The following is a 23,252-nucleotide window of genomic DNA, read 5'->3' on the forward strand; positions in this document are numbered from 1 at the left end:
CTCTCAGCAGGGTGGTTATTAAGATACGGCATGAATAAAATGAAATTAATGAGACTAAAAGATTTTAATACAACACCACTGAAAAATAAGGTATGTCTAAGGGATCCCCTCTTGGTCCCTCAATTTGCCCCACATTGGAGAAATTTAAAGTCAGAAGGCAAAGATTACAATGAGAAATCTGACCTGAAATTGCCTAGGGAGATTAATCAAGGCAAAATTGATAAAGCACAAGTGTCCCTTTGCTTACCCTCTGGCTGGGGACTCAGAGCCTCTGTACACAAGTGGGTAAAACCTTCTGGGGTGGTGAAGATAAATCCCTGAAACTCCTTGATATAGGAGTCCTATGATCCATTGGCAAAGAAAGCCCCGACTAGGGCTACTAGATTGGGAGAATATGAAAAGGTAAGGGTTGACAGGATTATATAAACTGGAATGGTAATAAACACACTTTAAGTTAAAAAGTTGTATCTCCTTTACTTGAATGTTTTATGGAAATGGATGTTATGTCTGGTAGGGAAACACTTCCCCTACCTAGTACTGTAAAACCAAAACCGGTTCATAAAGTCCTAACAGAGGCTAAAGTTAGGAAAGTAAGGTTGATGGAATTAGGGTACAAGCTTGGAGAACTGGTATATCTGAGTCGTATACTGGTATAATAACTATAATTTTTTCTTTCTTTCCAGTAACACCTCGATTCCCACTGCCCCCGCCCCTCATCCCCATCTGATACAGTGGTCACAGGACCAGGGCTGCAACTACAGTTGCACTAAGCAGGGATGATTCCTAAGCAAGTTAACTGCAACTGTTTTTAAACCCTATGTCAGAATTCCTAAGGAGCTAATGGGGGCATGGTTGTTCTTTCACAAATTCTGGCAAAATAGAGGGTAAGAGGAAAACTCCCACACATCTTGTGTTAGAAGCATGTTAGAGTCCACATAAGCAGGAGAAACTGTGTCAGTTATTCCTACATTCTCACAAGGACATTCACCAGTTTTGTACCCAAATCTAGCAATCTTATTCTAACACTGTTTTTTCAGCACCTGTACTCATTTCCTCCAATGCTCCTTGAACCAGTTTTCCAATCCAGCTGGTTCCCTCACAAATGAGTTAAATGAATGCTTGCTATATGCTCACTTTTTAGGAATTATAATTTTTAAAACACATGGAAAATAATGTAATCCATATTTTGTTTAGGGTAGCGATGTGCCTAGGTAAAACTGAACATTTCATAGCTTGCTTTACTACTAGTGGTCACATGATATAGTTCTAGCCAATTAGAGGTAAGCAGAAACCTGCTAGGGTTTTCTGGAAAACTGTTACCTCTTCTTCCATCCTTCCTTCTTAAAGGCCTGATGGCTGGAGCTGCAGTGGTCATTTTGTGACCATAAGGGTACAGTTTGTAATCATTACTCACCCTTGGACTGCTGCTTATCTTTTGACTTTTTAAATGAAAGAAAACCCTTATTTTGTATAGGTTTCTATTATTGCAGGCAAATTCATTACCTAATAGAGATACATCAACCTTCATTAACCTACCTATTATAACAAAGTAACAATTTCATTTTCTTAATTTAAAAAATACCAGGGTCAAGAATGAAACATACTGTGAATTAAATATGCTGATTCTTCTCAAGCTTGGCATTTGGTTGGTGGTGACCCATGCAGGTTTAACATGTGTACTGTGAAGTGTTATTTCTGTTTGGGCCCATCTACCCTGGCCACGGCATGATGTTCATCCGCAACGACTGAAAGGTGTTCAGATTTTGTAAATCTAAATGTCATAAAAACTTTAAAAAGAAGCACAATCCTTGCAAAGTTAGGTGGACCAAAGCATTCCGGAAAGCAGGTGGCAAAGAGCTTACACTGGATAATTCATTTGAATATGAAAAACATAGAAATGAAACCATCAAATACCAGTGAGAGCTATGGAATAAAACTACTGAAGCAATGAAGACAGTTGAAGAGATCAAACAGAAACGCCAAGCTAAATTTATAATGAACAGATTGAAGAAAAATAAGAGCTACAGAAAGTTCAGGATATCAAACAGGTCAAGCAAAACATCCATCTTATCTGAGTTCCTCTTGCAGGCAAAGGGAAGCAGTTGGAAGAGAAAACAGTACAGCAGTTACAAGAGAATGTGGACATGGAAGATGCTTCTTAAAAATCTCTGTAACCATTTCTTTTATGTACATTTGAAAATGCCCTTTGGAGACTTGGAACTGCTAAATTATTTTTTACATAAGGTCACTTAAATGAAAAGTGATTAAAATATATCTTTCCTACACTGCCATCTACAAAACATCAGATATTACAGATGTTAGATTGCATCTCAGTGTTAAATCTTCACTGATAGATATGTAAATCACGAAAATTCTACTTATAACTATAGAAGTGAATTGTGGATGTAAAATGGTTATGCCAATTGGATAATGGCACTAGGTGGCATTTGTATAATAAGTAATGGCAAAAAATCATGGCTAGTGATATATAAAATAAAATATTATTTGCAGCCAAATATTCCCTTTATTAATGTTATGGAAAGGGGGATACAACAAGGAACTAACAATTTGTATGACAATGTCAAATATTGTTTTGATTTTAGTATTTCCTGTTTTGGTTTATTTGCATCTTGGAAGAGCATAATGGCATTGTTTGATGAAGCTTAATTATGCTGGACTGTTTTGACCTGGTTTAATCATTCTGATAGGCAGTCGTGGATGTTGGGAATTAGAACTGAATAATCTTTGCATGGACTGTCGCTACACTCTGGAATTTCCACTTTGGAGAATACTCAGTTCTAACTAGTTATTCCTGGTAGAACAAACTTTATTTTTCTAGTCTGGCAATGATCTAGAAGCAGAGGAATCCCAGTGCCTTTTAAAAGTTATTATGTAGTTTTCCTTTAAAAAGCTCCTGTTTTTGGAAAGTAGAATTTATGGGTACAACATCTGTTCATTATTTGCACATAAAATAAAACCATTTAAAAAGTTAAAAAAAAAAAGTGTTGATTCAAGAATGGATAAAGATCCCAGAAGACTGGTAGGTAGGTAATTTCAATCAAAAGATGCCATAATCACAAATGACTTTCATACTTTCAGACGTGGATTTATTCCTACAGCTCTTATTTATCAAGTAATGTAAATTACTAATTCTATCAGCACTAAGACTGAACAAAACCTTTCTAAGTTAGGAATCTTTCTAAAAAAAGGTTTTTTGTGGTTTTTTTTGGTCTTTAAGAGACAAGATCTTGCTCTGTTACCCAGGCTGGAGTGCAGGGGTACAATCAGGGCGCACTACAGACTTGGAACTACTGGACTCAAGCAATCTTAATGCCTCAGCCTCCTAAGTAGCTAGGACTACGGGGCACATGCCACCACGCCCAGCTAAATTCAGTTTCTTTAAGCCAAAAAAACTCCTTTATGTTGTTTCCATATGAAAAACTGATTTTTGGCCAGGTGCAGTGGCTCATGCCTGTAATCCTACCACTTTGGGAGGCCAAGGCAGGCAGATCACTCGAGGTCAGGAGTTCAAGACCAGCCCGGCCAACATGGTGAAACCCTGTCTCTACCAAAAAATACAAAAATTAGCTGGGCATGGTGGCGCAAGCCTGAACTCCCAACTAACCAGGAGTCTGAGGTGGGAGAATCACTTGAACCCAAAAGGCAGAGGTTGCAGTGAGCCGAGATCATGCCACTGCACTCCAGCCTGGGCGACACAGTGAGACCCTGTCTCAAAAAACAAACAACAACAACAACCAACAAAAAACACAACAACAAAAAACTGATGTTTAAAAAAGTTTTTTAATTAATTACTGTAAGGATTTCCCCCCTACAATTTTGTTCTTGAAACTCAAGACTGCTAATCTTCTATGATTATATCAATTTCATAAAAAGCCAACATAGATCAAAATGTGGTCCTTGATTTAATTACAATCCTACAATACTGGCTGGGAAATGGACAAGAAAGAGGAAACTACAGGCAATCACTTCTGACCCCAGCATAAGCAATACCAGTATCCCTTATTTCAACATTCTGGTATAACCCCAAAATGTCAGCCATAAGAAGAGACTGAACAAACCACTGTTTCTTAAGAAGATGATTTTCACAACCATAGTGAGTAAAAAATATTCTGGGAAGTGCAAAAAAGGCCACCAACCTTCTTCCTGGTAAAATCAAAACAAAAACTCCATGTCACTACCCAGTATTACATCTATGAATTCTTTCCTTCATGAACAAATCAATTGTTCAAGAATTCATGAAACCTACCTGGGCAACATGAGGAAACCCCATCTCTATAAAAAATAAAAATAAATAAATAAATAAATAAATAAATAAATAAATAAAAGCCCAGCATGGTGGCACATGCCTATAGTCCCAGCTACTCAGGAGGCTGAGGTGGGAGGATCACTTGAGCCTGGGAGGGCAAGGCTGCAGTGAGCTGAGATCACACCACTGCACTCCAGCCTGGTGACAGAGCCAAACCCTATCTCACACACACACACGCACGCACACGCATAGAAAAATTCATGAAACCAGGTACCAGGCTCTTCTAACTGAAAAGGTAGTAAAACAGTACCTGGTCAACTTGAACCCTCTGAAGTCAGTACTGTAATAGGCCACTTCTACTTTAATTACATTTTTTTTTCATTCTTACCTTACTCCATAAATACATAAGTAAAAACTGGGAAAAGGTCAATTACTAGCTGTTCTTAAACACCCTTTTTCTCACAAATTAAAAATGGACTGGGTGGTAGCCTGCCTGAGTTTCATGGGTGCACTGTAACGTCAATGTTTTAAGACTGAGTAGTCCTTCCCAGGACTCTGCTTGAAGTCCTCCAGGCTGGTACTGTTTAGGGCACTGGCTAGGCCTCTCGGTGGCTACTCACTGCCATCAAGTAATGCCTGAAGCTAAGCATCAACTGATGGGCAGCTGTGGTCAGTGAACTCCACACCTTAAAGGTTCATGGAGACGCCAAACAAGTAGCTGTGCCATTTACTTCCAATTACTTCTTTTATTTGTTAACCAGCCAGGCTTCACTGACTGTTAGCACCCAGTTTCTTGCTATGGACTTTGGTGACCCCAGCATAGCACTAGCTCCAGATACTTCACATTGCCATCTCCTCTACTTTCTCACTTCTCTAAGATGTATGGAACACTTGTAGCTCACCCACAACTACTGAGGCACCCCTTGGCCCTCAGAGTCATCCTCAGAATTCCTTTACATCCAAGATTCTAAGCTCCGAAATTACTCTGATTACAACCTCCAGAATTCTCCAATACTTAACTTCCCTGTGTACATGACCCCCTGGGTTTCAGAGGGCACAGGGTCAAAGGTCTTGTCCCTCCCTTAATCCTTGCAGCTCACTCCGCCCTTTCTGCTCTCATCTGTTTCCCTGTCCTAGCTTGAACAAGGCTGACCTCTTCAGAAATATTTCCTAAGCCCCACTGTGCCTTGCTCTATTGCACTTCAGACCCCCTTACCTCCAATCCTTGTGTCCTGGCTTCACAAACCTCTTGAGTGGAGGAAAACATTACCTACTTGAGAGTTTCTGGCTCAAGTGACACTGTAAGTTCATACTATCTAACCTTCCTTGGCCCTTACTTCATCCCAGTCCTTTTAAGTTCTTAAGTTTTCAGTCTGCAGCAGTTCCACTGCACCTAACACATCCCACTATTTTGGAGCTCTTGCGCTCCCTCTGGGGATGAACTAGCACTGAGACTGTACTGTACGCCACTGGGGCCTTCAAATGCCCTCTTCAAGTATTAGAAACATATGGGCTAGGCATGGTGGCTCATGCCTGTAATCCTAGCACTTTGGGATGCTGAGGTGGGAGGATCATTTGAGCTCGGGAATTCAAGATTAGCCAGGGCAGCATAGTGAGATGCCATCTCTACCAAAAATACAAAAATACACCATGGGCATGGTGGCACATGCCTGTAGTCCCAGCTACTCAGGAGGCCAAGAGGATCGCTTGAGCCTGGGAGGCAGAGGTTTCAGTAAGCTGAGATCATACCACTGCACTCCAACCTAGGGACCCTGTCTCAAAAAGGCAGTCCAAAGCTCAGGTCAAAAAAACAAAACAAACAAACAAAAAAAAACAAAAAAAGGTAAAAAAAAAAACAAAAACAAAAACTAAATTAAAACAAAACGAAACAAAGCTCAGGTCCACTGACATGTTTTGTTTAGCACATATAACTGTTTTTTTAAAATATGTAGTTTAAAAATATTTTATTCATATAATTCGATGAATTCGATGTGTATGATTTTTAAAATGTAAATTAGTGACCACTTAAATACAATATTTTATATAATTAAATCTGGATTCCTTGCTTCTCTTAGATAATAAGACTGGACATCACTGAGCCCTACCATGTAACTGACTAATGCGATACGCATGGGAAGCTGCCCTCTCCAAAAGGGCCACACGGCTTCATTCACCACAGTCCCTCTTCCCGACCACCCCACTTCCCTACACAGGTTCCCTGCCTGGTCCCAGGAAGCATTCTGAGTTTGTGGTTCTTTGATCTAAAAGAAGGGTTCTTTTTTTTTTTTTCTCAAGACAGAGTTTTGCTCTCGTTGCCCAGGCTGGAGTGCAATAGCGTGATCTTGGTTCACCGCAACCTCCGCTTCCCTGGTTCAAGCAATTCTCCTGCCTCAGCCTCCTGAGTAGCTGGGATTACATGCATGCGCCACCCCACCTGGCTAATTTTGTAATTTTAGTAGAGACAGGGTTTCTCCATGTTGGTGGGCTGGTCTCGAACTCCCGACCTCAGGTGATCAGACCACTCGGCATCCCAAAGTGTTGGGATTACACAGGCGTGAGCCACTGCGCCCGGCCTAAAAGAAGAATTCTAACTCGTCTCACCCCCACGGCTGAGATCCCCTCAACCTCATCCCTTTCCACCACTGCTTCACAGGGAGGGTCCCACCTCTGCTTCTTCACTTTAATCTCTATTTGCGAATGAGGCAACAGCTAGCCAGTACCTCCCTTTTGTCTCTGAAATTCAATCCTCACAATCCTTTGCTCCCAAGATGTCTTCCAGCACTGACTTCTTTCCCCTCTCTCTGGGCCCCCTATGGACAATGCCCTCTTATAAGGACTTCTCACTCTTAGACATTGCCTCTCTAGCCCCTGTATTAATGCCAAATTGCATAAAAGTTACTCAACCCTTATTTTCAATTTCTGTACTCTTACTATTGAAAACCAGCAACAGACCACACTGAGCAGCCCCAGCCCAGAGGTGTAAACACTGAGGCATTTGTGGAAATGTAAATTTCTCATGTCCCCCTAACTCTTCCACGACTCTCCACTGACTACTTGCAGGTAAAATCCATGTTCTTCAGCAGGCCCCAAGCACTTTGTGATCCACTGGAGGAATCTGTGATGCAACTGCCCTCTTCCATGCCCCTGTGATTGCACACAGCTTCTTCCCTCTGCCAGGACCTCCCTGCTACCTAGGAAACCGGCTGGCAGAGCAACCCTTCCATTCCTGTGTTACAGAAACACCTTGCACACATTGCAGTTGTTGTATGTATCACACTTTACTGTATCTTCCCCATGTCTGTCTCCCCTAAGAGGCAACGTGATTCTTGAGGTCAAGGGGCAACCGTCAATACACTCCCTGGCACCAGAGAAGTCTTCCTTAAATGTTGATGAGCTGGTGGCCCCACCAGTCAATAGGTCAAACAACTTAACCATCCCTCCTGCCACCTGGCTTAAAACCGACCCCTAAATCCCTACATCCACCACACAGCTGCCCTGTCCCTGTAAAAACCTTACCACCCCCTACCCCCTCATGCCCAAGGCTAACTTGCAACAATGTTCATTTCACTGTTGGTCTTCTGTTTCAGGAAGATTCCATGCTTCTCAAAATCCTCACTGACTATTAAATAAGGTCCAATGACCTTAGCCTGGCATTTTGGTACCTCAGCCTTCATCTTTCCCAGGAGCACCTGGACACCTTTTACCATGACACTCCATGTTTTCTGGGCCTTTGCTCCACAACCACCTCTGTCTGGAAGGTCAGGTACCTGGGAATATTTGGCTCTTCAAAAGCCAGCTGAAGTACTGCTTTCTACGACAAATCTTCCCTTTAACAAAAGTGGTCACTGGTACAGAGTCAGTGCCTGTTTTTCAACCTGCATGCGCACTATCACTGTCTACTAGTAGTTTCCATTTCGCCCCTCTGCAGTCATTGGAGGCCCACCTAACTAAGCTCCACATTCTTCTCTACTCTAGCATTTGCAAAAGGCAGTGAATTCACATTTTAAAGGCAAAACACAAGCAAACCACTTGGTGGGACACAAGACAGTTCATCTTATCTTATTTTGAGCAGAGACACTATAGTTGAAAAACTCTTCTTTGCTCTAAATCTTCCTTCCTCTAAATCTGCTGCTCTTCCACAGCCTAACTTAAAATATTATAGATGTTGGATCAAATTTGCTTTCCTGTTCTTAGTTTTTAAAATCAAAATAATGGTTTTCTCCTCCTTCAAGAAAGTAAAACAAACTCCAAAACAAATTCAGAACAAAAAAGCCCTGATTGTGGCATTCAACTCTTACCTATGAGTCTCAAGGGGAGAAAAAAAAGAATTTCTTACAAGTGGGAGGGTTGACTTATGAGTAATACATATCACAAAGATCAACAAGCAGGAGCACATACTAGCAAGAAACTGTAAGACACACCTTTCCCAAACAGCTTGGCTAAACTGTGTGGCAAGGACAGCCAAGAAAACAGGCATTGGGCAGGTCTGGCAGGACCAGCAGGGCTCTTCTGCATAGCAAAGGAGTCATTCTCCATGCTTGCGATGAGTCTTGAGCAAAAGCAGAACCCAGAGGAGGCAGAACGCACAGCAAAGGCAGAGACTACTACAGTGGAGATTTAAGCTGAAAGGTGCTAAACCAGAACATTGGAAAAATAAAGTGGGGTTGGATTAATCGTTTTGTAAGTCAGAGGAGGAGTTTAGGCTGAATGAGACAGGTGACAGGAGGCTCTAGTAGGTTCCAGGGCAGGAGAATGACTTTTTGCAGGAGGATTACTCTAACACAAGTTGAACCAGGGAGGGAGGGAGCAATGAATGAGTAAAGGCAATGGAGCAAGGGAGGGGACACACAGGAATGAAAGTCTTAACCGCAGCAAAGGCAATAGAAAGGAAAGGAATGAATGCACGTAAGAGATTTTCAGAAGAAAAAGCAGGACTTAATCATGTCAAGCTTTTAAGCCCTGAGAAGTGCAGAAGATTGGATAGCTGGGGAGAATGGACGAAGGGGAATGCGCCTTAGACCAGCTGTCTGCAATCCAACTGACTAAAAAAGTTAAGCCCAGGAAAGCAAACTTGGTTCTATATCTACAATGCTGGCTTTCTGATTTGTTTTGTTTTGTTTTGTTGAGACGGAGTCTCGTGCTGTCGCCCAGGCTGGAGTGCAGTGGCGCGATCTCAGCTCACTGCAACCTGCCTTCCGGGTTCAAGCGATTATCCTGCCTCAGCCTCCCGAGTAGCTGGGCCTACAGGCGCGTACCACCACGCCGGGCTAATTTTTTGTATTTTTAGTAGAGATGCCACTGCACTCCAGTGTGGGTGACAGAGTGAGACCCTGTCTCAAACAGAAAAAAATAGGTAAATAAACATACATCCTTTCTTTCTGACATTCTCCGAGCGTTTTATTACTATTAATGGTTTTTTTCCGATTCTCAAGAACACGGTTTTCACCGTGTGACACAGGACAGTCTCAATCTCCTGATCTCGTGATCCTTCCACCTCGGCCTCCCAAAGTGCTAGGATTACAGGCGTGAGCCACCGCGCCCGGCCTACAATGTTTTAAGTTAAGCTTTGAAGAACTACACAGCTGAGTGCCCCGTCTCCTTTAAGGATGTGAAATGCAAACACTCACGATTTTTTGTTAAATCTAAGAACATCAGGAGATACGACTACTCAGATTCAAGGACACTGACATTACTTGACAAAGCAGGATGCAAAAAGAGGGCCCTTCCTGCCCACCCCGCAGACAGGGCTCATCATATGAGAGGCAAGTATCAAGAACGAAGGCTCTGGAAACAAACTCCCTAGGTCTGAATCCTGCTGCCCTACTTAGGAGATGGAAAAACCTAGAGAAACTTGGTTACCTAGGAGGAGCAACATACTGTGTTGCTTTTTGGTTTGGAAAGGGGGGGAAGTAGATAGAGGTGCTGAAGAGGTCTGAAATGCTGATTTAGGCAGAAGGTGAGTCACCACTTTGAGTTTCAGTTTCCCCAGCTGTTAATTAAAAAAAAAAAAAAAGGCGGGGTGGTGGTGGGGAGGATAAAATCTACCTTATTAGAAGCCATAAGGGCTGCACATTCCTTCTGAAGCAACCTGTGATGTTCTTAAGCGTTATGTAAATGTTAGTTGTAGGTAATATCAATACAAAGAATAACGCTATTTTTTGTTAACATATTAAATATCCGGCCGGGGTGGCTCCCGCGTGTAGTCCCAGCACTTTGGGTGACCGAGATGGGAGGATGACTTGAGTCCAAGAGTTCGAGACCTGCCCGGGCAACATAGTGAAATCCCCTACCAAAAAAAAAAAAAAAAATGAGCCGGGCGTGGTGGCGCGCTCCTATAGTACTAGCTACTCGGGAGGCTGAGGTGGGAGGATCACTTGAGCCCGGGAAGTCGAGGCTGCAGTGAACTGAGACCGCGCCACACTGCACTCCACTGTGGGTGACAGAGTGAGACCCTGTCTCAAATAGAAAAAAATAGGTAAACATAAATCCTTTCTTTCTGACATTCTCCGAGCGTTTTATTACTATTAATAGTTTTTTTCCGATTCTCAAGAGGAACTGAGATCCCAAAAAGGCTCAGAACTGCAGTAGTGGAGGCCCGGGACTGGGGGATAAAGGCTTAGGTGGTGGACGAGGCTGCGGGCCCAGCAACAGGCCTTGCGTACCATCCTGGGGGCCGGGGAACTGACAACAACAGGCGACATGCGCAGCGCACCCGATCCGTGCCACACGCTGTGCCTGCGCTTCATACACATCCCCCACTTTCATCCTCGCGACAGCCCTCTGAGGTAGGTACTTTCGTCAGCGCCACTTTACAAATGGGGAAACTGAGGCTCCGGGGATCAAGCCGCTATCCAAGGTCACATGGCTCGCGAGCCGAAAAGGCACGTTCGCTGGCTCCCGAGACTGCGTTCCCAACCCAGGCGCATCGCGGCGGACGGCGGGGGCGGGGAGGAGCGGGAGCCCGGAGACCCGGACCGATCGAGGCCGCGGGCGCGCGGGGGCGGCGGCCGGACTCACCTTGGCGCTGTGCACCGCCTCCTGCGCCCCGCAGAGCTGCAGCCAGATGCGCGCGGGCAGCGGCTCCTCAGCCCCTAGCGCGCCGAGCACGGCTAGGCTCACGCCAAACAGGCCCTCGATACGGCCGCGGCTCTGCTCCAGCAGCTCCGCCTTCTCAGCTGGCGCAGTGAACTCGTCCAGCACCGCCCGGGCCGCCATGGCGGGCGCGGCCTCCCGCGGCGGCGCCGGGGGCCGGCGGCGGCGACGCCCCCTCAGCTTGCTGCCGCTGCTCCCAAGCCAGTCAGGCGGCGTCGGCCCTTCCCGGCCGCCTCGCCCCCGCCCGCGCCCCGCCGCCCGCCCTCAGGCCCGGCTATACCATCCCGCCACGACCGCAGCAGCTTGGCAATTGCTGGCAGCGAACCCCTCCGCCCCTTTGCCGCCGCCGCGGGCCGGGCCCCGCCGCCGCGCATGCGCCCCGGCCGCAGCCGTCATTGAGGCTCGCCGCCCCCTAGGGGAAGGGAGTAGGGTGAAGGCGACGGAAGTTGACGTCACCCTCAGTCGCCATGTTGGTTGAGAATAAAGGGATGGTTTTGGAGGCCTGGGCGGACTTCTTTGATGAGGGGAAACCGCTTTCGCGGGATCTGGTGGATGTAGATATATGGGTTTATAGTTGGGGAAACTTAATTGCCAGGAGGCGAGACTGAGAGTGTCACAGGGATTGGACTTGACCTCAGACATCTTGACGCTCAAACCAGGATTCTAGCAGTTGAGTTATTCAGTTTCACGTTAATCCACAGGCAGACGGGACTTTTCTTTCTCTGTTTCTTCCCTTCCTCCCTACCCTTTTACCTTCTTAGCTGCCCTTCTCACTTTTTTCTCTTTCCCTTTTTATTTCTTTCAGTAAAAATGGTAGCAAGAAGAGAAGAAAATGGGCATACTTACGGAGAATTGAAAATCAAAAAAATGATTAAGATAAATTCAAGAAGGCCGGGCGCGGTGGCTCACGCCTGTAATCCCAGCAGTCTGTGGGGGCAGAGGCGGGTGGATCACTCGAGGTCCGGAGTTCGAGACCAGCCTGACCAAAATGGAGAAACCCCCGTCTCTGCTAAAAAAAAAAAAAAAAAAAAAAAAAAAAAAAAAAAAAAAAAAAAAAATTAGCGCGGCGTGGTGGCACATGCCTGTAATCCCAGCTACTAGGGAGGCTGAGGCAGGAGAATCGCTTGAACCCTGGAGGCAGAGGTTGCGTGCGGTGAGCCGAGATTGCGCCATTGCACTCCAGCCTGGGCAAGAAGAGCGAAACTCCGTCTCAAAAAAAAAAAAAAAGATAAATTCAGGAGAGTGATTTCTTCTGTGAGGGAAGAAAGGGGATATGTTATGGGAGAAGCCCGAAAAGTGGGAGTTTGGGGGCTCACTCATGATCTTCCCTGGGACTGGAGCAAATAAACCCTAACCCCTCTCCAGGTCTGTTTTCTGATCTGTAAAATAAAAGAGTACACTCAGTTATCTCTAAGGCCTTTTCCAGGCCTTTATATTCTCTGAGTCCATGAAAACAGATTGTGGAAGATAAAGTGTTGGATTCCTTTCCTTCAGCTAAATATTGTGGCTATAGTAGATAGGGGCTCTGGGAATATTACCTCTCTCTGTTTTAATTTTTCATCTATAAAATGTAGATAATAATAGTACTTCCTATTGTGAATATTAATACAGCACCCAACACTGTAAGTGCTCACTGAACATTATTATTGCTAACTTAAGCAATATATTTAAGGCCTAATTTTCAGGGAAAATCTTTGTGTGGATTATGCAACCACAGTGAACTTGTGGGCCCAGGAGTCTGTGCCATCTGTGTACATCCCTGCTAGAGGAAAAAGAGGAGGAGCTAAAGATGCTGTAGTTGGAAATACCAAGGGGGAATGGTCTCTGTAGGAGGATTTACCCAAGGTAAAACCTATGAGAGATCCAGGCTTCTGGGGGTTTCCATATGTCTCAGAAACTCAGGTGTGGTCTCCCAGTGCCCCACCAAGAAGTGATTCAGCACAGGGAAGAGAACCACTAGGCTCACAGATCAACAGATTCCTGCTCCCCTGGGCTTTTCCCTTGATGTCCACACAACCAGCAGCCTTGCTCCATCAGGTAGATGACGTGGGATTGGCTGAGGCAGGTCAGGTGGCGAGTGTGGCATTGCTGATGCATTGCTTGCAGAACCGCAGTCTATCAGTAAGGCATGTTGTCAACACAGCATGTTATTTCCTGCCTTATTGCACTCACCTTAAACGGAATTGCTATTGTTCAGTGATTAGACAGGGCTTTCCCCAGGGCTGGTTCCTGTTTGCTCCCAGTGACTTCCCTGCTTGCGATTCTTAATTGCTTAATTGTAAGAGGTGAAGAGGGAGGCTGCCTTGAAAAACACACCACAGTGCCTTCCTCTCCCCACTTCCCTCCAAAAAAATCCCACCCAAAACCAACAGAAGCAGTGCATACACACACCCTTAAAAAATGCTGGGCCAAGAAGCTGTGCTAATAAGTCACTGGGTTGGTGTATAATTGAAGATACATAGTTTTGGGAGGTTTTTCCTCCAGTTTTAATTTAAGACTTGCCAGGCTGGGTGTGGTGGCTCACACCCGTAATCCCAGCACTTTGGGAGGCCAAGGAGGGCGGATCACTTGAGCCCAGGAGTTGGAGACCAGCCTGGCCAACGTAGTGAAACCCCGTCTCTATTCAAAATATAAAAAATTAGCTGGGTGTGGTGGCACATGCCTGTAATCCTAGCTACTCGGGAGGCTGAGGCAGGAGAATTGCTTGGACCCCGGAGGCGGAGGTTGCAGTGAGCCAAGATCGCGCCACTGCACTCCAGCCTGGGTAACAAGAGCAAGATTCCATCTCAGAAAAAAAAAAAAAAAAAAGACTTGCCAGTTCATATTTGATCAGCATTTCCCTTTAGGGAACTCTCAAGGTTTCCTGAGTGTAAGGAACAAGGAGAAAGAGAGAGAGAAAAAAAAAATCCCCTTTCAAGAACTTCCTTGCTTCATGCTGTTTCTCACTCAACCACAACTTCCCTCGGTTAACCAGCCTTGCCTATCTGGCTGGCCTGACCAGCCAGGACAGTCGATGCCAGAGATGAAACCTTATGAATTCTGTATTCTAGATACTTTAGCTGTGTTTTTCCTTAATCTCATAACAACCTCAAGAGCCCATAAAATGGTATTGAGAGAATCACTTATTTTTGCTTCTCATATTTTCAAGGACAGGAGGAGATTCCTATTCCATTCCCCAGCGGGGCCAAGTGTGGAGGAACATGTCTATCTAGCTTTCATTCTCCTTTTCCCCAGAGCAGGAGGAGGATTTCTCTGACTGATAACTTTCTGAGAAGGTGGGGTGCTGGGTTGGACCGCCCTGTACCCTGGTAATGGGCTGTCTGCAGTTGCTGTGTTAGTGACTGGGGGTAAAGTATTTTCACTTCAACCACATCCTCCAGTCTAGCTCTTGTCAGCAATGATGATGACATTTTGATCTCTACCTGCTTTTCTTCCTTAGTTCTGAACTCAGAAGGGGCAGAAAGAGTGTTTATTGGTCTCCTAAAACTCCAACAGTGGTTGCTATTGTTTTTCTTCCTGTTTCAAAGATGAGGAAACCAGCCGGGGGTGGTGGCAGGTGCCTGTAGTCTCAGCTACTTGGAAGCCTGGGGTGGGAGGATTGTTTAAGCCCAGGAGTTCAAGGTGTGCCTGGGCAACATAGCGATATCCTGTCTCTTACCTGCCCCCCCACAAAAAATGTAAATTAAGGGGGAAAAAAGAGGAAACAGAAGAATAGAGAAATTCTGGAATGTTCCACAGAGCTAGTCAGTGAAGTGGTAGAAATAGCCATTTGAATCCAGGCAGTCTGACTGTAAGCAGGCAGCTTGGCTTCAAACTGCATTTTAAAACCTTGTTTTCTTTCCTTCTTTCTCCCCAGTCTCAAGATACAACTTTGAGACAAGCTGCATATGTGTTTCCTGTCATCTTGACATACAGCCTTGGAATGGACTGTGAACCTCCACTCCCTATCCTTCCCCATTCCATTCTCCCATGCCATATGCTCATTTATTTACCCAAACACTCGTCAAGCACATACCATGCTCACTTATCTGGTCATGTATTTCCTTAGAAGCCTCAGGGGCTGGATTTTTTTTTTTTTTTTTTTTTTTGCGATGGAGTCTTGCTCTGTCTCCCAGGCTGGAGTGCAGTGGTGCCATCTCAGCTCACTGCAACCTCTGCCTCCCGGGTTCAAGCAATTCTCCTATCTCAGCCTCCCGAGCAGCTGAGATTACAGGCATGCACCACCACATCCAGCTAATTTTTTTTTTTTTTGAGACGGAGTCTCGCTCTGTCGCCCAGGCTGGAGTGCAGTGGCGGGATCTCGGCTCACTGCAAGCTCTGCCTCCCGGGTTCACGCCATTCTCCTGCCTCAGCCTCCCAAGTAGCTGGGACTACAGGCGCCCGCCACTACGCCTGGCTAATTTTTGTATATTTAGTATAGACAGGGTTTTGCCATGTTGGCCGGGCTGGTCTCAAACTCCTGACCTTGGGCGATCTGCCCACTTCGGCCTCTCAAAGTGCTGGGATTACAGGCCTGAGCCATTGCGCCCATCCAGGGGCTGGATCTTGACATGGACCGTATGCCTCCAGAATTCTCTCCCCGGTCAAGGCTGAAATTTACTCCTGGCTACACTCACTCACGTTTACTCATGCTCACGCACTAGAAATTAACTGCAAGATTGGCTGAAGTTCATTTGTAACCTGGTCAGGCCCAGGATGGCACTGGCCCCTTCACCAAAGGGAACAATAATTCAAGATAAGCTGTTGGAGTGGATTGCACCACTGACCCCTCCTAGCCCCCTTCCTCTCCATTCCAAACCCCTCTCTCTTTAAAAACCCCTGCATTCCCCCCACAAATTGAAGGGTGGAAATTTTTGGAAAGAATCTCACCCACTCCTTCCCTTATTAGCATGGATAATAAAATCTCCTTATCACACTTTGCTCTTGTTATTCTGTCATTTTTGTACCAGTGGCGAGCAGACGGACCCTTTGCTGGTTACATGACTCTGCTGACTGGCCTTATGTGCTATGCCATAATGACAGCAGCAGCAAGCTTGGATATGCAGCCAGCCCCTTCTTCTGCCCTTGTGCAAAGGTAAGCAAGAGGAGAGCACATGGTCTCATGACCAACCCCTTAGTCTTGGACCTTCCTTGCCGTAGGATGCTGTCAAAACCAGACAGATGTGCACGTGGAATGTTGCTCGGCACACCCAACCAATCAGATCAGCAGACAAAGATGCTCTCTGGCCAGCAGTGTCCTGGGTTCCGTGTTTTTGGTACAATCACATGTAGGGCCTTCGAGTAAGAAACGGTTATATCATCATTCTTCAACTACACACACAAGGTTTTAATAAATTTGCAAACTGTTGAACGTCTCTCATCCCCTGTCAACAATCCAAGCCACCATCATCTCTCTGACAACCATGAGGTCTCCCCATAGCCTTTTTGGCCTGTCTGTAAGTGTCAAGAGCTACAACCAGTAGGAGATTCGGATAAATTATTTACAAATATCGATGCTGCAGCCAGAGTGATCTTCTCAAATTGCAAATCTCATCTGTCAGACCATTACTTAGGATCCTCCAAGAGCTTTCCCTCAGGGTCAGAATAAAATCCAAAGCCCTTGCCTTGAGTGGCAGCCCTTACCAGACCTGTCTCCTGCCTGCCCCACCTCTGCTCCTCTCTGCACTGGGCCCAGCTCACACCATGGCAGGGCATTTGCACTCACTGTTCCTTCCTCCTGTTTCCTTTTTTAAATTATTATTTTATTTATTTATTTATTGAAGTGGAGTCTCACTCTGTCTCCCAGGCTGAAGCGCAGTGGTGCGATCTTGGCTCACTGCAATCTCTGCCTCCTGGCTTCAAGCAATTCTCCTGCCTCAGCCTCCTGAGTAGCTGGGATCACAGGCGTGTGCTACCACTCCCAGCTAATTTTTTGTATTTTTAGTAGAAATGGGGTTTCACCATGTTGGCTAGGCTGGTCTCAAACTCCTGACCTCAGGTGATCCACCTGCCTTGGCCTCCCAAAGTGCTGGGATTATAGGCATGAGCCACCACACCTGACCACTTCCTCCTATTTTCTTTTTTCTTTCTTTTTTTTTTTTTTTTGAGACGGAGTCTCGCTCTGTCACCCAGGCTGGAGTGCACTGGTGCAATCTCAGCTCACTACAACCTCCGCCTCCTGGATTCAAGCAATTCTCCTGCCTCAGCCTCCCAAGTAAGTAGCTGGGATTACAGGTGTGAGCCACTGTGCCTGGCCAAGCCCTATTTTCATTTAGTTAACTCCTCACCCTCCAAAGCTCCACTGAAGAGTGATTTTGTCAAGAATTCATTCACTGGTCTCTCTGATGAGCCAAGTCTCCTGCTGTAGGCTCTTGGCACTGTGGTCCTGTCACTTGTGGCACCAGGGCCAGTTTTTTGTGTGCTTGAGTGATGGGATTGACTCAGGTCCACCTCCACCATCAGACTGTCAACTCTATGGGGGCAGTGATCTGAGGCCGAACTGAGCTCGACATATTCCAGGAACAGGGGACAGGGCAGGATGCAGCCCTCCAGAAACACCCAGAGACAGGATAAGGCCAGACCCTCCAGAATGCATGTGGTGGGCCTGTTACAGATTTTGTATTTTATTTTAGTATAATGAGGAAAAAAAGTCTTCCCGGGTTTTGTTTTGTTTTGAGACAGGGACTTGCTCTGTTGCCCAGGCTGGAGTGCAGTGATGCCATCGTAGCTCATTGCAGCCTCAAACTCCTGGGCTCAAGTGATCCTCCTGCCTCAGCCTCTCAGTCTGAATACCTAGGACTACAGACGAGCATCACCACACCTGACTAATTTTTAAATTTTTTGTAGAAACGGGGTCCCACTATGTTGCCCAGGCTGGTCTGGACTCCTAGCCTCAAGCAACCCTTCTGCTTTGGCCTCCCACAGTTCTGGGATTGTAGGAGTGAGCTGCTGCCCCTGGTGTTCCCAGGTTAAGCAGTGAATGCATCATCTAATTTATGCTGTAAGATCTGTCTCCCTTCTCTGGGGAAAAAGCGTGGAGGAGGCCAGAGTAGACTGGGAAGAACATAGGTATATATGTGTTTATATAGAATATCTTCCATACCACAGCAATTCCATCCAATCCCCTTTCTCAAACATGAAGGGGGGTGGATCACGAGGTCAGGAGATCAAGATCATCCTGGCTAACACGGTGAAACCCCATCTTTACTGAAAATACAAAAACAAAATTAGCCGGGCGTGGTGGCGGGCGCCTATAGTCCCAGCTACCAGGGAGGCTGAGGCAGGAGAATGGCGTGAACCCAAGAGGCGGAGCTTGCAGTGAGCCAAGATCGCACCAGTGCACTCCAGCCTAGGTGACAGAGCGAGACTCCGTCTCAGAAAAAAAAAAAAAAAACCACGAAGGGGCTGGGCTTCTCTCGGCATGGTAGCCAGGTTCCAAGTAAGAAAGTAAGACTATTTCACCAGCAAGTGTTCTTGCTGGAAGTAGAAGGAAGCCTCCACTTCCTTTTTCATGGAACACTTGCTGGTGAAATAGTCTTACTTGGAACCTGGCTACCATGCCAAGAGGAAACCCAGCCCCTTCATGTTTGAGAAAGGGGATTGGATGGAATATATATATATATAATATATATATATATATTTTTTCTTTTTTCTTCCCAGTGGCAGTATTGGTCTAGGTGCCAGAGGATGGGGGCTTGGACCAGGGAAGTTGCAGTGGGGAGGGAGTGGAGGAATCTGAGAGCTATTTTGGAGGAAGAATCTCTGCATTCAAGCGTGGAGGGCGTGCTTCTCCTTAGCTGCAGGAAAACCTCAATGCGTCTGCTGCTTCTAGTCTCTTATTCTCTCCCTTTATATATTTCCTTTGCATTTTTATTATCCATGTATTGAAACTCCTCTGACATTGATTCAAACTGCTACAACTGCCACAATACCGAGAGGAGCTATTTATAACACGCAGTCCTTAGGTGGGAATGCAGCTCTCTGCCAAGTGCTACTACAGAGATTGTCGGCAGTCTGCCAGCTCCCAAATGTTTCTAATTCAAAGCATTTTCCCATCACCCTCTACAGCTAGGATTTCTCAACAGGGGCACAATTGACATTTTGGGTGAGATAATTCTTTGTTGTAGGGACCTGTCTTGTGAATTGTAGGATGTTTAGCAGAATCCCTATCCTCTACTCACTAGATGCCAATAACAACCACTCCCCTACACCCGGTGTGACAAGAAAACCTCACCAGACATTGTCTAATGTCAAAACTGTCCCCAGTTGAAAATGATTGTTCTACAGAGATAATTCAGAGAAAGCCCTGCCCCTAGGGCTGAGCTAATAATTCAGCATTCAGCCAGGTGCAGTGGCTCATGCCTGTAATCCTAGCACTTTGGGAAGCTGAGGTGGGTGGACTGCTTGAGCCCAGAAGTTCAAGACCAGCATGGGGCACATAGCAAGACCCTCCCCCGCCCATCTCTGCAAAAGATCATAAAAAATTAGGCTGGGGACAGTGGCTCATGGCTGTAATCCCAGCACTTCGGGAGGCTGAGGCGGGCGGATCACCTGAGGTCAGGAGTTCGAGACCAACCCAGCCAACATGGTGAAACCCTGTCTTTTTTTTTTTTTCTTTTTTTTTGAGACAGTGTCTCTCTCTGTCACCCAGGTTGGAGTGCAGTGGCCCAATCTCGGCTCACTGCAAGCTCCGCCTCCCAGGTTCACGCCATTCTCCTGCCTCAGCCTCCTGAGTAGCTGGGACTACAGGCGCCCGCCACCACACCCAGCTAATTTTTTGTATTTTTAGTAGAGACAAGGTTTCACCCTGTTAGCCAGGATGGTCTCGATTTCCTGACCTCATGATCTGCCCGCCTCGGCCTCCCAAAGTGCTGGGATTACAGGCGTGAGCCACCGAGCCCGGCCTAAACCCTGTCTTTACTAAAAATACAAAAATTAGCCAAGTGCAGTGGTGTGCACCTGTAATCCCAGCTACTCAGAAGGCTGAGGCAGGAGAATAACTTGAACCTAGGAGGTGGAGGCAGCAGTGAGCCAAGATTGTACCACTGCACTCCAGCCTGGGTGAGAGTACAAGACTCTGTCTCAAAAAAAAGAAAAAAGAAAAAAAAAAAGCCAGGCAGAGTGGTCTTAGCTACTTGGGAGGCTGTGGTGGGAGGATGGATTGAGCTTGGAAGGTTGAGATTGCAGTGAGCCATGATTGTACCACTGCACTCTAGCCTGGGTAATAGAGTAAAACCCTATCTCAAAAAAAAAAAAAAAAAAATTTGGCATCCTCTTTCTACATACTCCATGGGACACACACATCAAATCTAATGAAGGCTTCTCAGCTCCCTGTATGGGGTGTGAAAGAACAATTAGTTAAGGGTTTGTGGTTGGTTGTGTGTCCACCAAAGTGACTGGGGCATCAGCCCACTATCTCTCACTGCTTCTCATTGGCTCATCAATAGAACACATTCTTGCCAGGCCTACCTGTCTTTAAAGCCCAGCCCAATTCTCACTTCTTCCATGAAACCTTCTTGTCCTACTCAACTTCCTGTGGCTGGTTAGGACAATTGAATAATTGATTACTTAATTGATTGATTCATTCATTCAACAAATATTTACTGAGCACCTACTAAGTGCCAAGCATTCTAAGTGCTGGGAATATAACACTAAACAAAGCAATGTCTGTTCTCATCAGCTTACATATGAGAGGGGAAGGCAGGCAATGAATGAATGAACAAATGAATAAATGTTACAGTGTCAGTGAGCAACTGCTGGCAATTCTTCCCTCTAACAGCCCCAAGTCTCAGGCTGGAGAGGCGCTTGGAGGTGACTCTTCACTATAAGGCCCTGTCTGACCCACCCTCTTTAATTTACAGAAGACGAAACCAGGAGCAAGAGGGGAAGTGCCTTGCCCACAGTTCCATGGTTATCTTTCCCTACAGCATAACCCAATGCAGATACCTCTTCAATCACAGGCTCACTGAGGGTGTGTCTAGGGAAGGGCCACTCTACCTCCTCTATCTTCCTTGCATTCACTTGCCTGGCCAGCTGCCCTGGGTCCTGCCTCCCTGCAGCTGCCTCCACAGCAGCAATGCACTGGGGCAGAGGCAGGAAGACCCCTCAGGAAGGAAGCGGGACAGGTGATCGGTCACCAGATATGGGAGGCCAGCCAGGTGACCTCTTGAGACCACCTGACCCTGTGATGCCATCAGCTTGGCATCAGACGTCAGGTCAGGGGTGGGGCGGGCTCACAGGAAACCAGGCCTTTTCTATTCCTTGTCTGTGTTAGGTAGTTTCCAAAGATGGTCCTCAGAAATTCCTTCCTTCCTGCATGTGCGTACTTCCCTTTAAAAATCTGGACTGGTCTTGTGACTTCATTGACTAATAGAATTCAGTGGAAGTGATGTTCCAGAACTTCCAAGATCAATGCTTAGGAAGATGAAAGCTTCTACTTCCTTTTTCTTGGAACACTTGCTGGTGAAACAGTCTTGCTTGGAACCTGGCTACCATGCCAAGAGGAAGCCCAGCCCCTTCATGTTTGAAAGAGGGGATTGAATGGAATTGCTGTGGTATGGAAGATATTCTATATAAACATATACATATATATATATACACACACACACATATATACACGTATATTCATTGCTTTTCCAAAACTCCCTGCATGCCTAATCCTGTACAAGGAACTAGGCTATGCACCAAGCACTTAGAACAGTAGGTGTTCAGCAAATACTGATTGACCGACTCTACATGAATGATCTCATTTAGCCGCAACAAACAATTCTATGAAGTAGGCGTTATGCCCATTTTACAGATTAAGAAACTGAGGCTTAGAGAGATTAATTAACTTGACTGCAGTCCCCACCACTAGGAAGGGACTGAGCCAGGACTGTCACAGCGGGTGTGCAATATTGAAGACTTCCCGGCAGAACTAGAGGGGCAGAGGCATGCCTTGGCTCCCCTTGAACTCTCCCACTCCCAAACTCATACCAGGCTAGTTTAGGGACTGCCCAGGATCAATAATTGGGATTTCTTGACTTAAAGAGCTCCAGGACAAGGTGGCACAAATGGCCTTTCCATATTCCAGGATTGCAGGACACACACAGTGGGGAGGGTGCTCCTTCTACTTGACCATGGGCTCTTGGTTCTCTGAAATAATAGGAGAGACCATTTGCACACTTTGTTACAAAACTCTTGCATACCAGACTGGGCACCACAGCAAGGCCCTATCTCTGTAAACCATAAAATAACTACCTGGGCATGGTGGTGGGTGCCTGTAGTCCCAGCTACTTGGGAGGCTGAGGTGGGAGGATCACTTGAGCCCAGGATTTCGAGGCTGCAGTGAGCCATGATCAGGCCACTGCATTCCAGCCTGGGCAACAGAGCAAGACCCTGTCTTTAAAAGAAAAAAAAAACCAACTGCATGCACTGAAAGACACGGTTGGCCAGGCAATTCCTCCCTCTAACAGCCCCAAGTCTCAGGCTGGAGAGGTGCTTGGAGACGACTCTTCACTACAAGGTCCTGTTTGACCCACCTTCTTTAATTTACAGAAGAGGAAGCCAAGAGCAAGAGGGGAAGTGCCTTGCCCACAGTCCCATGGTTATCTTTCCCTACAGCGTAACCCAGTGCAGACACCTCTTCAATCACAGGCTCACTGAAGCTGTGTCTGGGGAAGGGCCACTCCACCTCCTCTATCTTCCCTGCACTCACTTGTCTGGCCAGCTGCCCTGGGTCCTGCCTCCCTGCAGCTGCCTCCACAGCAGCAATGCACTGGGGCAGAGGGAGGAAGACCCCTCAAGAAGGTTGTGGGACAGGTGATTGGTCACCAGATATGGGAGGCCAGCCAGGTGACCTCTTGGGACTACCTGACCCTGTGATGCCATCAGCTTGGCATCAGACCTCAGGGGTGGGGTGGGCTCACAGGAAACT

At 46.2% G+C, this 23,252-nt stretch overlaps 1 protein-coding gene, 1 long non-coding RNA gene and 1 pseudogene across 4 annotated transcripts in view, besides 6 other annotated features; 2 read left to right on the forward strand and 1 right to left on the reverse strand.

Moving 5' to 3' along the window:
* N4BP1 (NEDD4 binding protein 1) overlaps positions 1–11,690 on the reverse strand; it is a 71,455-nt gene extending 59,765 nt beyond the window's left edge. For all 3 annotated transcript variants that reach the window (XR_007064930.1, XM_011523482.2, NM_153029.4), the window contains exon 1: positions 11,285–11,690. Coding sequence is in view for 2 of the 3 variants with exons in the window: in XM_011523482.2 (XP_011521784.1) it covers positions 11,285–11,482 (198 nt within the window). In the remaining variant the exon portion in view is untranslated. The remainder of the gene's footprint in view (positions 1–11,284) is intronic.
* LOC105371239 (probable ribosome biogenesis protein RLP24) lies at positions 1,673–2,341 on the forward strand (annotated as a pseudogene).
* Positions 10,821–10,870: an enhancer, noted in NCBI's record as "active region_10798". NCBI's record gives its function as "activates an Ori minimal core promoter by ATAC-STARR-seq in GM12878 lymphoblastoid cells {active_cell/tissue: GM12878}" and the evidence as "EXISTENCE:reporter gene assay evidence [ECO:0000049][PMID:35858748]".
* Positions 11,181–11,780: a silencer, noted in NCBI's record as "silent region_7457". NCBI's record gives its function as "represses an Ori minimal core promoter by ATAC-STARR-seq in GM12878 lymphoblastoid cells {active_cell/tissue: GM12878}" and the evidence as "EXISTENCE:reporter gene assay evidence [ECO:0000049][PMID:35858748]".
* On the forward strand, positions 11,820–12,723 carry LOC124903687 (uncharacterized). The gene is made up of 2 exons (XR_007065063.1): positions 11,820–12,028; positions 12,165–12,723. It is a non-coding gene; the product is annotated as an uncharacterized LOC124903687 (long non-coding RNA).
* Positions 11,821–11,870: an enhancer, noted in NCBI's record as "active region_10799". NCBI's record gives its function as "activates an Ori minimal core promoter by ATAC-STARR-seq in GM12878 lymphoblastoid cells {active_cell/tissue: GM12878}" and the evidence as "EXISTENCE:reporter gene assay evidence [ECO:0000049][PMID:35858748]".
* Positions 11,881–11,960: an enhancer, noted in NCBI's record as "active region_10800". NCBI's record gives its function as "activates an Ori minimal core promoter by ATAC-STARR-seq in GM12878 lymphoblastoid cells {active_cell/tissue: GM12878}" and the evidence as "EXISTENCE:reporter gene assay evidence [ECO:0000049][PMID:35858748]".
* Positions 13,153–13,232: an enhancer, noted in NCBI's record as "active region_10801". NCBI's record gives its function as "activates an Ori minimal core promoter by ATAC-STARR-seq in GM12878 lymphoblastoid cells {active_cell/tissue: GM12878}" and the evidence as "EXISTENCE:reporter gene assay evidence [ECO:0000049][PMID:35858748]".
* Positions 19,208–19,502: a silencer, noted in NCBI's record as "tiled region #15629; HepG2 Repressive non-DNase unmatched - State 22:ReprW". NCBI's record gives its function as "represses a minimal TATA promoter and a strong SV40 promoter by Sharpr-MPRA in HepG2 cells {active_cell/tissue: HepG2}" and the evidence as "EXISTENCE:reporter gene assay evidence [ECO:0000049][PMID:27701403]".

The sequence above is a fragment of the Homo sapiens genome, chromosome 16 (assembly GCF_000001405.40).
Source record: "Homo sapiens chromosome 16, GRCh38.p14 Primary Assembly".
Taxonomy (NCBI): domain Eukaryota; kingdom Metazoa; phylum Chordata; class Mammalia; order Primates; family Hominidae; genus Homo; species Homo sapiens.